Here is a 15,187-nt window from a genome sequence, read left to right as displayed (position 1 = left end):
GACAAGCCTGACCAACATGGTGAAACCCCGTCTCTACTAATACAAAAATTAGCCGGGCATGGTGGCTCACGCCTATAATCCCAGCTACTTGGGAGGCTGAGGCAGGAAAATCGCTTCAACTTGGGAGTCAGAGGCTGCAGTGAGCCGAGATTGTGCCACTGCACACTAGCCTGGGGGACAGAGCAAGTCCGTCTCCAAAAATAAATAAATAAATAAATAAAATTCTTTTAAAAAATTACAATTACTAGTGTCTATGAAATTTTACAGTATACTATGGCATACAGTGTTTGAAATAACAGTGAAAACAAAAAAACAAAAAAAATCTAAAAAAGGGTAAAATTTAAATATTCTCTTAATGAGAGCCAAACCATTAAATCAAACAGAGATTCTCCTCCCCATTCATCCCTTTTAACAAAATTTGGACTATAGGCATGGTGCGGTGGCTCACACCTATAATCCCAGCACACTGGGAGGCCGAGGCAGGCAGATCACCTGAGGTCAGGAGTTCGAGACCAGCCAGACCAAAATGGTGAAACCCTGTCTCTACTAAAAACACAAAAGTTAGCCAGGCATGGTGGCACATGCCTGTGTGTGACTTGCTTGAAATAATACAGGCCATAGAAGTCAGTGGGAGTGTAGATTAAACAACATTCCCCATGAGTTGGTGCCTACCTGGGAGGCTACTTGGGAGGCTGAGGAAGGAGAATCGCTTGAACCCGGGAGATGGAGGTTGCAGCGAGCCAAGATCGAGCCACTGCACTCCATCCTGGGTGACAGAGCAAGACTCTGTCTCAAAATAAATAAAATAAGATAAAATAAAATAAACTGGACTATAACTAAAAGATATGCAATATATGCAACATTTGCTCTGCTAGTACTTTTGGGCACAATATGAGAAAAGGTGGTGATTTTTACCATCATAATCTCTGCATCGCCTCTTTGGTGGTAGGTTTCGACCAAAAGAATTGGAAGAGCTATGATTGTTATAGTAATTAGACCAACTCTCAGTTGTGTTTTCAGAGTGGTGAGCAGGTGCGATCACAGTAACAGTGCTGGGAATAGACTGTGCCCCAGAGGAATACTGCTCAGAAGAGTTTGGAGGTGGTGCAGACACAGGCACATAGGAACTCTCCAGGTCATTCCTTTCACTCTTAAACTTCGATCTTTCCCTGTGCTCTACTTGGAGACAAAATTAAAAACAGAAAACAAAGAGATCAGATATTTCATGTTCTTAAACTATATTTATTTTCTCACATAGAAAACATGAGAATGTTGAATTAAACTTATCTAGCTATCCATATTTCATACTCCTCTCTTTATTAATATATCCTAAAAGCAGGGACATCAACAAGTGACATATCTTGGGCAAGAACTTGTGCAAAATCATCTTTTATAGTATCAACATCAGTTACACTTAACTGAAAAAGAGTCAGCTTCTCCACAGATATTTAATAAGAAGGTTATCTAAGAACTGACTTCCAAACTTGTATCTCAGAAGATGAGTGGTTGGGATCCCAATAATCTACTTATTTTATCCATTTAATTTTATAAACTTCAAGCACCCTTACAGCAAATCAATTACTTTTAGAAAACCAAACAAAGAAGAAAAGCAGGCAACCCTCTTCCTCACGTGATAGCTTTATTGATTAAAGGATATTTGTATCCATTATACAAAATGAGTTAAGTCTAGACATGTACAATGATACACTTGAATAGCTCCTTTTTAATCAAACTCCCTTGACTCCATCCCCAGAATAGAGCCCTGTTTTCTAACAAAATGGATATTGAGCTTCTTGAGACAATTCCAGTTTTTACACTGCTCAGACATATTAAAGGTACAACTTTAAGAGAATTTCTTGCACCCCTGTGATAGAGACAGATAAATAACTACAGAGTTTTTAGGGGGACACTCATCTACTCACCAACATTCCTATTTGGATCCCGGTCTTTGCTGCGCCCCCTACTTCGGCTTCTACTGCGACTCAGGCCTCGACTCTTACTCCGACTCTTACTCCTGCCTCTTCTCCAGTCATACTTCTCACGGTACAATTCATTCCGCTCATAGTACCGGTCATAGTCTCTCCATTTCCCGTCTTCTCTTTTTTTCTCACGTGTCCTATAATATACAGATATAAAAGCCATATGCAGGCTATAGAAACCAAGTCTGCAAACAAATCTATAGTATAAATACTACTCTTGAGTCATCCAAATGCATATCTATGCTTTTTTAGAAAGTTGCAAATCTACCACATAATTCCTCTAATCAAATATATACAGAGAAAAAACATCCCTCCTGCAATTATACTGGGTGGGGAGAAATGAAAAAAAGAGGTGAATCCAAAGTATGGGGAGGGGTGGGCAGGGGAAAACAGAAAATTTGAAATAGAAAAGAAAAAAGGCTCAAAAAAAAGTGTTCCTAAACAAAGACCAATTTTTGATGTTAGGCTGATGATTCAATATACAAGTTGTACTACTTGTCATAAAAAAATGACTTGGATGATTTTAATACTAAGCACCCCTAACCAAATGGAACATTTCATTAATATTCTCTAAGGGGACTGCTCCCACCCCTGAGCTCTTGGGGAAAACACATAATAATGACTGTTTATAAAAGGAACAGAAAGTAAGACAAAAGACAAAAAACAGAAAGAATGAAAGGAAGAAAGGTAACATCTTTCTTTAATGAGTTTACAGAGAGAGGAGTAAGTATATATATTAAAAATCCCTTTAATGTCCTTGCAAGGCAACTAAAAAGTGAGTTATCAATGTCTTCCTAATTAAAGATAAACACAAACCTTCGTTCACTAGATTCTGAACGAGTCTTCTGGGGACTAGGATATTTCTTTTTTCTGCCATCTCGTTCTTCCTCTGCTGGCTCCTGAAATACCTATATGAAAATATTGAGTAGAAGTAAGAGCAGGGCCAGGCACGGTGGCTCACACCTGTAATCCCAACATTTTACGAGGTCCAGGTGGGAAGACTGCTTGAGGCCAGGATATTGAGACCAGCCTGGGAAACACAGGGAGACTCCATCTCTACTAAAAATAATAAATAAAATAAGTTAGCTGGGCATGGTGGGATGCACCTGTATGTAGTCCCAGCTACTCAGGAGGCCAATATGGGAGGACTGCTTGAACCCAGAAGTTTGAGGCTGCATTAAGCCATGATCACACCACTGCACCACAGGCTGGATGACAGAGTGAGACCTTTCTCAAAAACAAACAAAAAACAAAATAAGAATGGTCCCTCTCGGCCGGGCGCAGTGATTCACACCTATAATCCCAGCACTTTGGGTGGCCGGGGCGGGCAGATCACTTGAGGTCAGGAGTTTGAGACCAGCATGGCCAACATGGTGAAACCCTGTCTCGACTAAAAATACAAAAATTAGCCACGTGTGGTGGCACGTGCCTGTAGTCCCAGCTACTCGGGAGGCTGAGGCAGGAGAATCATTTGAACCCAGGAGGCAGAGGTTGCAGTGAGCCGAGATCACGCCACTGCGCTCCAGCCTGGGCAACACGAGACTTTGTCTCAAAAAAAAAAAAAAAAAAAAGAAAGAATGGTCCCTCTATAAATTATGAAACATGTCCATCTACCTGATAATATTTCTGGCGCAAGAGAGGGCACGAGTAAATACACTGAAAAAATAAAGTCAATTCATAGCCAAAAGAGTCAGGCAACAGCAGAAATAAAAAAGATGCTCAGATTACTTCAACAAGCAGTTTGTTAATTTTTTAATGTTAAAGTAGGGAATGGTAGTGTAGGAAAAGTATAAACAATTCATTCTTCAAATTAAAACAGCAAATCTCTTAAGTACCATAGAGTAAAACGGTTATGTTTTCCTCATTATGAAATATATATACATACATAATTCATTTGAGTAGCTCTTCAGATTTATTCCATAGGAAACGTTTTAGGAAAAAATGGTTAAATCAATGAATGCTATAAAACTAAGTAATTCATGTAAACTATGGAAAAATGGTATTGGAACTAATGGAAATGTTAAGGCTTTCTCTTAAAGCCTAACCGTCAAAATTGACCAGAAATACAAAGAGAACAGTAATTTTTATTTTTTTATTTTATTCTTTTGTTTTTTGGAGACCGAGTCTCACTCTGTCGCCCACGTTGGAGTGCAGTGGCGCTATCTCAGCTCACAGCAACCTCTGCCTCCTGGAGAACCAGTAATTTTTATTATTGTCTTTGAACAAGTTTATCTCAAACCGAATATATAGTCTTTACCAGAGAAAGGTGAAATAAAGTTATTTGCAAGAGTTAAACAAATACCTATCTAATGGAGAAGCTCACTGACAAATACACAAATCAGGAAGTGAGTGAATGGACTTAGGAGATAATAATTTAATAAAATTCAGGCAACATAAAACGGCAGCCACAATATGGCAACCATATGGCAGCAAAATCACTACACACTCACTAGACTACATTTAAAAAACATTCTCTATCCTAATTCACAGGAAATACAGAGGATGTATTATTCCACTGGGATGCAGACAGCAAAATCCAGACAGTAAAAAACTCTACAGGACAAATGATTGAATTTCTTCACAAAATAAAATTTAAGGAAAAAGATGAGGTAAAGAAAACAGGCAATGAAGGCAGTGTGCTTCATAAATCATGGCACATGTCTACCAAGTTGTTTTTCCAGAAGCAGGATGAGTTGGTGCCAATGATCCAAATTCTCTTACCCTGGTGATCAACAGTCTAATTAGAAAACCACTAATGGAACCCAATGTAGCCGAAGACCAAGGAAGAAAGTTAAAATGGGTAATCCCTAGATTTGCTTCTCTATACCCTGTTCAGAGCAACTAAGCACAGACCAGAAAAAGACAATTAGCCAAAGATGTGTGCCACCTCAGACTCCTTTCCTACTCTATTATCTAACAGAAATACTATAAACAATTATGTTTATGCACTACTAAATGAACTACAATTTATTTCAGTAATTACGATAAGTTATGTAATTTTCTAAAACTTAGAAAATGAGAAACGCCGGAAAGCTGTCAGTTGGGGGTAGCTCTACACAGAAACTGGCATTATCCATTTTTCACAATTCTCAAAATTGTATCTACAAAGATACAAACAAGATAGTATAACAGTTTTGTTTTTTTTTAAAACTGTTCTTTTAAAACTCAAGACAGGCTGGGTGCAGTGGCTCACACCTGTAATCCCAGCACTTTGCGAGGCCAAGGCAGGTGAATCACCTGAGGTCAGGTGTTCAAGACCAGCCTGGCCAACATGGTGAAACTCTATCTCTACTAAAAATACAAAAAAATTAGCCAGGAGTGGTGGTGGGCACCTGTATTCCCAGCTACTTGGGAGACTGAGGCAGGAGAATCGCTTGAATCCAGGAGGTGGAGGTGGCAGTAAGCTGAGACTACACCATTGCACTCCAGCCTGGGCAACAAGAATGAAACTCCATCTCAAAAAAATAAATAAATAAACTCAAGATAATGCAAATTTTCTCTCATATTCAAATCAGCTGCCTCTCAAACAGATACATCTAAACCACTGAGATTCAATGACTGTAAAAAACACGTTACAAAAAATTTTAACTTATAAAAAACATAATCTATACCATAGACCAAAAATTATATACTATAAAGTACCAAAGAAAAATGTCTATGAAAGTACTCAAGAAAGTTTTCTTCCAGCCCTGGCGCAGTGGCTCATGCCTATAATCCCAGCACTTTGGGAGGCCGAGGCAAACAGGTCACTTGAGGTCAGGAGTTTAAGACCAGCCTGGCCAACTTGGTGAAACCCCGTCTCTACTGAAAAAAAAAAAAAAAAAATTAGGCAGGCTTGGTGACAGGGCCTATAATCCCAGCTACCCAGGAGGCTGAAGCAGAATAATCGCCTGAACCTGAAAGGTAGAGGTTGCAATGGGCCGAGATCGCGCCACCGCACTCCACCCTGGGTGACAGAATGAGACTCTGTCTAAAAAAAACCAGAAAGGTGGCCAGCTGCTGTGGCTCACCCCTGTAATCCCAGCACTTTGGAAGGCCAAGGTGGGTGGATCACGAGGTCAGGAGTTCAAGACCAGCCTGGCCAATATGGTGAAACCCCATCTCTATTAAAAATACAAAAATCAGCCAGGCATGGTGGCACATGCCTGTAATCCCAGCTACTTAGGAAGCTGAGGCAGGAGAATCGCTTGAACCCAGGAGGTGGAAGTTGCAGTGAGCTGAGATGGCACCACTGCACTCCAACCTGGGCGATGGAGCGGACTCCGTCTCAAAAAAAAAAAAAAAAACAGAAAGGTAAAAAACAGAAAGGCTTCTTCCTATTTCCAGTACTTTAAGACACATTCAACAAGCCTCTCCAATTTTGAAAGAACTTGATGAGATAATTACAGGGCATGATATAAAAAGAAAAAACAGACAGCAGTCTCAGTTGATCTTCATAAATATAGCCACATTTTTTCTTTTAATGTTGGATCAGGTCAATCAGCCTAGCATTTAAAAATGAATCGGAAATGATAACTAAATGATACCTAATCCTTAGAATCAATCCTGAAAATGGAGAGGAAAAGAACATGCTATAAAAAAGAAACACTTGGGACTCGGTGCAGTGGCTCATGCCTGTACTCCCAGCACTTCGGGAGGCCAAGTCAGGAGGATCGCTTAAGCTCAGGAGTTCAAGACCAGCCTGGGCAACATAGTGAAACCCTGTCTCTTTAACAACAACAAAAAACTTTTTTAAAAGGAAATAAAAAAAGGACATTGCTTGATCAATTGATAAAACTGAACACAGATAATACATTAAAGTACTATATGGATGTTAAATTTACTGAACTTGATCACAGTATCATAGTTACCTAAGAGAATATTCCTTATATGTAGGAAATACACACTGAAGTACTTTACTTAGGGGTGAAAAGACATGAAGTATGTGACTCACTACTCAAATTACTGAGAAAAAAATCATATGGATATTTAAAGAGAGCAGATGGGGCAAATTTTCAGTAAGTATATCTAGACCACCTATAACCCCAGAGCTTTGGGAGGCAGAGGTGGGAGTTCGAGACCAACCTGGGCAACATAAGGAGACTCCAACTCCATCGAAAAGAAAAGTTTATCTAGATAGACGTCATATGGGTGTTTTGGGTATTATTCTCGTAATTTTTTTTTTTCTTTCTGAGGCAAAGTTTTGCTCTTATTGCCCAGGCTGGAGTGCAACAGTATGATCTCGGCTCACTGCAACCTCCACTGCCCGGGTTCAAGCGATTCTCCTGCCTCAGCCTCCCAAGTAACTGGGATTACAGATGCCTGCCACTACGCCCAACTAATATTTTGTATTTTTAGTAGAGGCAGGGTTTCCCATGTTGGCCAGGCTGATCTCAAACTTCTGACCTCAGGTGATCCGCCCACCTAAGCCTCCCAAAGTACTGGGATTACAGGCATGAGCCACCATGCCCAGCCTCTTGTAATTTTTATTTGTTTAAAATTATTTCTAAATTAAAAATTCATTTTACCTTCAGAATAAATGTAATAAAAATAAATACTGGGAAATATTTCTGCATGATAACCAACATTTATGTGCCAGGCACTGGACTAGAAACTATATATATATATACACACATACATACATAATCTCACTTAATCCTCAATAAGTACTACTCTGATCCTCATTTTACTGATATCAAAGTGAGACAGAGAAGTTAACTTGTAGAGCTGTTATTTTAACTCATGCAACCTGATTACAGAATCCACATTCTTCTATACTATATTGTCTGTATATAACAGGAAGTACAAAGAACTCTGTAAAATTTCCTTCTTGGTTCAAACAATTAGGTTACCATCTATAACCATGTTTTCATACTTCAATATTATAAAAACATTTTTAAAATCCTCTTTCCAATGTTGACAGTGATGTTCACAATTACATTAACTATTTTTTAAAACTCTATATAATCAAAAAGTGCAACTGGTTTCTCCATATACATGAAAATGTGTTACCTAATGATTTCTCTTGAGGATTTGTTAACAGTTCACTTTCAGTCAATCTCTCTATATTTAACCAAGTTTTCTTTTTCTAAAAGTCACTAGATAAGATTTCTCTGACTTCCTCAATATTTCTGAAATATTTCTTGGATCTCTAAACAAGCTATCTGAAACTTTTCAACTCTTCAGTCCAAGCAACTATGAAATCCTGATGAAGAATCTGTACCATGCCTAAAATCCGGAAACTTGAATCAATACACAATTACTTTTAAAAGGCTCAACTTCCAACTAAGGATACTGGTGACAGGATCTAAGAAGCCCCCAAAAGCAGGAGAAAAAATTTGCATTACCTCTTCTTTAATTTCTTCTTTTTCTTGGACTAGTGGTTTTGGCTCAGGCTTTACTGGTTCCAAAAGTGGAAGGTAGTTCTTAGTATAGAGACTTTCAAATAGTTTGTCCACAAAACCTGAAGTTTCTAAGGAGAAGAAATAACATTTACATATTGCGCAAACAAAAAACAAAAATTTGACAACACATTGTCAGCAAAGCTCAGGAAAACAGGACATCTTGTACACTGCTAGTAGGACTAAAAATGAGTCCTACCTTATGGAAGAGAATCCCACTTTCAGGTTTTTAAATCCTTCTGACCTACTTGCAAAATGATATATATGTAAGATTATTTGTTGGAGGATATAATAGCAAACGATCGGAAACAACTCAAATTTCCATGAATAAGAGACTAGTTAAATAAACTATGGGACATCTATACAACAGAGTACACAGCGGCTATAAAAAGAAAGAATACTGATAATACCTGATCTCAAAGATATAACAGTATGTATTTATATGTGTTTCTATCTATCTGCATAAAGAAACTGAAAAAAATAAAAACTGACAAAATTGTGTACTCTAGGTGGGAACGCGGTGGATATAAAACAGGTAAGAGACTTTCATGGTATACCTTTATATTGTTGGATTAAAGGCACTGCCAACTCAAAAAACTTAACCGAAAATTTTTTTTAATCAGTTAAATATTTACTGATATGAAAATGACATGAAACTAACTTTTTGTGTTTTACTTAAAGGGTGCTCTGTTTGAAACTTCCTCAGACAACTGAATGGGAGAACCAGATGAATTTAGTAAAAGTATTAACGTCAAATATTTATACTGCTTTTTTTTGTTTGTTTGTTTTTGAGACAGAATCTTGCTCTGTTGCCCAGGCTGGAGTGCAGTGGTGCGATCTCAGCTCACAGCAACCTCCACCTCCTGGGTTCAAGTGATTCTCCTGCCTCGGCCTCCTGAGTAGGTGGGATTACAGGCATGTGCCACCACGCCCAGCTAATTTTTGTATTTTTAGTAGAGACAGGGTTTCACCATGTTGGCCAAGCTGGTCTTGAACACCTGACCTCAGGTGATCTGCCTGCCTCGGCCTCCCAAAGTGCTGGGATTACAGGCATGAGCCACCACATCCAGCCTATGTCTTATTAAAACCAAATCTAAATAACTTTGATTGGTCCTACCCTAAGGAACAGCTAAAGAGCATATTAAAAGCACAACACAAACTCTGCTTACATTGCAATGATTACATCTTTTACATAAAAGCTATTTCTAAAATGTTATCTTTTCTACAGAAAAGCATCTTCTTATAAATTTCTTTACACTACTAATTTGTGTAGTAAGCATTTTTCCACGATTATAAAACTGTTAGCTCTCATTGACTATTACATATAAACTTAAGACAATAATCAGACCCTTCAAAAGCCTCTATAATCAGAATACTTTCACTTATAATTATTATTTAAAACAATTTATAACATGTTATTTTCTTTTGTAATCTGAAAGACACATAGCTCAATTTTTAAAAAGCAAAGATAAACATCTACTATTAAACAATATTCTCTGGGAAACCAAAGAGTTTGGGAAAAATTAAAAATAAATAAAAATAAAAACAATATTCAAGGTACACTATTAAATTTTTAAAATGTTATTATAAAAGAGTATGTTCACTTAATACTATTTTAAGATGCAATATAAACACAGACATAAGTCTACAGTTGCACTGTCCAATATAGTAGCCACTAGCCATATGTAGCTCTTTAAATTTGAGTTTAAATTAATTAAAATTAAATTTAAAAATCAATTTCTGGCCAGGCACAGTGGCTCACGCCTGTAATCCCAGCACTTTGGGAGGCCGAGGCAGGTGGATCACTTGAGGCCAGGAGTTTGAGACCAGCCTGGCCAACATGGTGAAACCCTGTCTACTAAAAATACAAAAATTAGCCACGTGTGGTGGTACATGCCTATAATTCCAGCTACTCGAGAGGCTGAGGCAGGAGAATTGCTTGAGCCCAGCAGGTAGAGGTTGCAGTGAGCTGAGATTGCACCACTGTACTCCAGCCTGGGCAACAAGAGCGAAACTCTGTCTCAAAAAAAAAATCAATTTCTCTGGCCTATTTACCAGATATCAAGTGCTCAAAAGCCACATGTGGCTAATGGCTACTGAAATGGAAAGTACAGATATAGACCATATGCACAAAGTTCTATTGGACAGTGCTAGTCTAGAAAGACACACACAAGCTGATAACAGTGATTTTATCTCTGGTGGCAAATTTATGGTTACTTATTTTCTTATCCTTTTAAAAATGTAGTGTATAGTTCCTTCTCATATATATTACCTATGTAATTTTTTTTTTAATTACTAAAATCCTTTCTAACTTTTTTTTTTTTTTGAGATGGAGTCTTGCTCTGTCGTCCAGGCCTGCCGAGTAGCTGGGACTACAGGCGCCCACCACCATGCCCGGCTAATTTTTTTGTGTTTTTTTAGTAAAGACTGGGTTTTCACCCTGTTAGCCAGGATGGTCTCAATCTCCTGACCTCATGATCCACCCGCCTCGGCCTCCCAAAGTGCTGGGATTACAGGCATGAGCCACCGCGCCTGGCCAATCCTTTCTAACTTTTTATAACAAAGAATTCTTGGACGTCTAAACATTCATTTGGCCTTTTACCCCAAATATGTTTTGCTTTCTCTTTTGTCATGGCTCTACATTTCACAAGACTCATCTTTAATGTAAATCAAGTAATGTAAATTAACACATTTAGAAAAGAAAACATCTGTACTGGGGAGGAATTTTTTAAGTAGCTGTTGTACTGGGAAAAAATTCTGTCAGTATTGCTTTGTTTCTACAAAAAGAGCTGTAAAATGTAGGAAAAAATATGTAATCCTATGTTTTAGATTGAGAAGCCATACTTACTTTTCTCCTTCTCAGTAAATACTTATTTTAAATGATATCTTCTCATCACCAATAGCTAAATCAACTGATAAATGTGTATTATTCACATTCCTATTCATCCATTCAACTATACATACATATATATATATATATATATTTTTTTTTTTTTTTTGAGATGGACTCTCGCTCAGTCGCCCATTCTGGAATGCAGTGGCGCGATCTTGGCTCACTGCAACCTCTGCCTCCTGGGTTCAAGAAATTCTCCTGCCTCAGCCTCCCGAGTAGCTGGGACTACAGGCACACGCCACCACGCCCAGCTAATTTTGTATTTTTAGTAGAGATGGGGTTTCACCGTGTTGGCCAGGATGGTCTCGATCTCTTGACCTCATGATCCACCCGCTTCGGCCTCCCAAAGTGCTGGGATTACAGGCGTAAGCCACCGCGCCTGGCCCATTTAACAATATTTACTGAACATCTTCCATGTACCAAGTACTGTAGGTTCCAAGTCTCCACTCTCAACCAAACAAAAGGCAAACAAAGGGTAGAGAGACAGATAACCAGGCAAATAAACCTATGACAGGTGGTGACAAGTGCCATGAAAACAACAAAACAGGAGTCAGGCACAGGGGCTCATGCCTTGTAATCCCAGCACTTTGGGATGCCAAGGTGGGGCAGTTGCTTGAGGCAAGAAGTTCAAGGATCAGCCTGGGCAACAAAGTGAGACCCCAACACTACAAAAATAAAAATACATAGATATAAAAATAAATAAATAAAAAAGAAAAATAAAACAAAACAGGGTTGGAAGGAGGAGAGTGGATGGAGGCATGGAGTATACTACACTGTATGTAGAGCACTCAGGGGAAACTGCTTTCAGAAGATGACATTTGAAGAGACCAGAAAGAAGCGAGAGAAGAATCCATGTTTCAGGCAAGGGTAAAATGAGTTCAAAGGGCCTGAGTTGGGAACATGTTTGCCATAATTCAAAAAACAGGTGGTCGTTGTGGCTAGAGTGGAACAAGTGAGGGGCAATGATAGGAGATAAGGTCAGAGAGGCAACAGGGGAAACCTTAGGAAGCTCTGTAGACCATGGAAACAGATTTGGTAAGAAGATGAAAAGTTAAAGGCACAAAGAGAAGAGGATCATACACATCTCTTCTTGGATATTAAGAAGCCCCATCCAAGGGGGGAAAAAAACTGATGAGCTCATCATCTTAATGAACACCAAGAATAAGCATCTTCATTATCCTTAAACTGTTACCCCTCAATCATCAAGTAGGCTCTGTCAAAAGCTGCAAAAGACCTAATCATCTAAAAAGCATTAGAGCTGCCATTGCCTCAATAGAGGAAAGCAGCAAAGAAGGAAAGGGAAAAAACCAGTTCTAACAAAACATGATAAATAATTAAGTATGAATGGGTATATTCAAGTATTCAAAGGACTCTGACTACTTTCTTTCCTATCAAGCTTATATCTCCAAGACTTTTCAGGAAGTTTTAAACTTAAAATCTTTACTTCAATACTCGATTGAAGGCCCATAATAATTACCTTTTTGTAAAAAGACATCAAGTTGATCAGCACAAAAGGCTTTTAATTCTTTCTCAGGTTTGTCCTTCTTGACCAGTGCTACAACATAGTTGGCTAAGGCTGAAGGATCAGCATCACATCTAGTTAGACAAAGAGAAAACAAAAATTTTAAAAAACACTTTTTATCAAACAGTAGTGTTATTAATGAAGTCACCCTTATTTTGGAAAACGAGAAATCAAAACTCTATTCTAAAAAGTGACCACAAACACAGGCAACTTTTATAATAAACATATACATACTGCGAGATTTTCCTTTTGCATTTATTTCTACAAAATGACTAGTATGTCTTCTATTTTTGAGGTTCTAAATATATCAAGGATCTTGGGCGAGCTCTACATTTATTTGTTCTCTCAATGATAACAGGCAAAGAGTGGCAACTGACCCCTAAGTTGCTGTTTGGCTCCCAGCTATAGAAGCACTGTCAATAACACCTTCAGGAACTATCTGTTCCAGGTGATTAATGAGCAAAAGGAAGGGAAGTGATGGAAAAACTTTCTCCTCTCCTCAAGACACCTCTCCCTAGGCACCAGTATCTAAAAATGGCTATCAGCCCTTTTGCTAATCTCAGCGAGTATCTTAAAGATCTTTTTAAAAAATAAGAACATGAAAAGAATGGCATTTAAATATTATTGGCAAATGCTTTAGCAGCTGTAAGAAAGAAAGAAAAGATCTAGGAGTTAGAAACAGAAAGGAAAAGAGAAGTGGTGAAAGGACAGCAGAGATAACCTTTATCTACTTCTCATTTTTTCTAGTAAGTAATCCAACACTGATACTCAAAATCATCTCCTATTCCAGGACAGCTCATAATCCTTGGGTTGTCAACTCCTGATGTATAGTAATCTGTCAGACTCGAGGTTTTATGTACATCACATGAAACTTTTAGTTTTCTTGTTGTAAACATATATATATACACACACATATATAAAATATTCTAGGCTTCCTGATGAATACATAAATAACACATATCCTTCACAGTCAGGTTATGAAGGTAAAATGAAAACATTCAGGCTGGGTGCAATGGCTCATGCCTGTAATCCCAACATCCTGAGAGGCTGAGGCAGGAGGATCATTTGAGCCCAGGAGTTCAAGACCAGCCTGGGCAAAATGGCAAAACTCTGTTGCTATAGAAAATACAAAAATTAGCCAGGTGTGGTGGTGCACGTCTGTAATCCCAGCTACTCGGGAGGCTGAGGCGGGAGGATGCTTGAGGCTGGGAGGCAGAAATTGCAGTCAGCCGATCACACCACTGCACTCCAGCCTGGGTGACAGAGTGAGACCCTGTCTCAAAGAAACAAAAAACAAACAAACAAACAAACAAAAAATTCAGAATAACAGTAAGTAAAACCATTATGCAAGCAAAGTGATTATATAACCTATAAAACACTATTCAAATCTAACTAATCTTGTTCTATAATCCTTGGGCCTTCACTAGCAGCCAGAAAGTTAAAAGGTTTCAGCTCACTTGGGAGGCTGAGGCAAAAGGACACCTTGAGCCCAGGAGTTGGAGGTTGCAGCAAGCCATGATCATGCCACTGCAGTCCAGCCTAGGCAACAGAGTGAGACCTTGTCTCCAAAAAAAAAAAAAAAAAAAAAAAAAAACAGGCTTCAGCTCAAGAGTATCAATCACATTTCCAATAACTTTATGAGATTAGTAAACAAAATAAAAACCAAGCACCAGTACCTTTACTTCCTTCTAGTTTTTATGCTTAAAGTTCGTAATTCAGTAACACAACTTTTTTTGTTGTCAATATTAACACTGTCATGGGAAAGGCTGGTTCTTTAAACATCCATTCACCTGGCCGGGCACGGTGGCTCACATCTGTAATCCTAGCACTTTGGGAGGCCAAGGCGGGGGGATCACCTGAGGTCAGGAGTTCAAGACCAGCCTGGACAACATGACGAAACCCCGTCTCTACTAAAAATACAAAAATTAGCCAGGCAAGGTGGCTGGCACCTGTAGTCCCATCTACTCCAGAGGCTGAGGCAGGAGAATCGCTTGAACCCGGGAGGCAGAGGTTGCAGTGAGCTGAGATCGCACCACTGCACTCCAGCCTGGGCAACAGAGCGAGACTCCATCTCCAAATAAATAAATAGACAGAGAGTCACTCAAGGCTGGGCCTGGTGGCTCATGCCTATAATCCCAACACTTTGGGAGGCCAAGGCTGGCTGCTTAAGCCTAGAAGTTCAAGAGCAGCTTGGGCAATATAGCGAGATCCGGTCTCTACAAATAATATAAAAATTAGCCAGGCATGGTGGCGCACACCTGTACTCCCAGCTACTAAGGAAGCTGAGACAGGAGCATTGCCTGAGCCTAGGAGGTCAAGGCTGCAGTGAGCCATGACCACACCACTACCCTCCAGCCTGGGATACACAGTGAGACCCTGTCTCAAAAAATAAAAAATAAAAGAAAGTAAAGAT

The 15,187-nt window shown here is 39.0% G+C and overlaps 2 protein-coding genes across 2 annotated transcripts in view, besides 1 other annotated feature; both read right to left on the bottom strand.

Annotated features, from left to right (window-relative positions):
* Positions 1–15,187, bottom strand: part of RBM27-POU4F3 (RBM27-POU4F3 readthrough) — a 138,124-nt gene that overhangs the window by 109,896 nt on the left and 13,041 nt on the right. Inside the window, exons 2-6 of the mRNA NM_001414499.1 lie at positions 12,730–12,848; positions 8,306–8,430; positions 2,796–2,887; positions 1,923–2,116; positions 916–1,176 (exon numbers count right to left, since the gene is read on the bottom strand). Coding sequence (NP_001401428.1) covers positions 916–1,176; positions 1,923–2,116; positions 2,796–2,887; positions 8,306–8,430; positions 12,730–12,848 — 791 coding nt within the window. The remainder of the gene's footprint in view (positions 1–915; positions 1,177–1,922; positions 2,117–2,795; positions 2,888–8,305; positions 8,431–12,729; positions 12,849–15,187) is intronic.
* RBM27 (RNA binding motif protein 27) overlaps positions 1–15,187 on the bottom strand; it is an 85,619-nt gene that overhangs the window by 57,391 nt on the left and 13,041 nt on the right. Inside the window, exons 2-6 of the mRNA NM_018989.2 lie at positions 12,730–12,848; positions 8,306–8,430; positions 2,796–2,887; positions 1,923–2,116; positions 916–1,176 (exon numbers count right to left, since the gene is read on the bottom strand). Coding sequence (NP_061862.1) covers positions 916–1,176; positions 1,923–2,116; positions 2,796–2,887; positions 8,306–8,430; positions 12,730–12,848 — 791 coding nt within the window. The remainder of the gene's footprint in view (positions 1–915; positions 1,177–1,922; positions 2,117–2,795; positions 2,888–8,305; positions 8,431–12,729; positions 12,849–15,187) is intronic.
* Positions 3,017–3,186: an enhancer, noted in NCBI's record as "experimental_81701 CRE fragment used in MPRA reporter constructs". NCBI's record gives its function as "activates a minimal promoter by MPRAs in K562 erythroleukemia cells, with activity observed for the non-introgressed 5:145608295 variant allele {active_cell/tissue: K562}" and the evidence as "EXISTENCE:reporter gene assay evidence [ECO:0000049][PMID:34662402]".

Source organism: Homo sapiens, chromosome 5, assembly GCF_000001405.40.
Source record: "Homo sapiens chromosome 5, GRCh38.p14 Primary Assembly".
Classification (NCBI taxonomy): domain Eukaryota; kingdom Metazoa; phylum Chordata; class Mammalia; order Primates; family Hominidae; genus Homo; species Homo sapiens.
The sequence above is the reverse complement of the archived record's forward strand: the minus strand, read 5'-3'. Positions and strand labels throughout refer to the sequence as shown.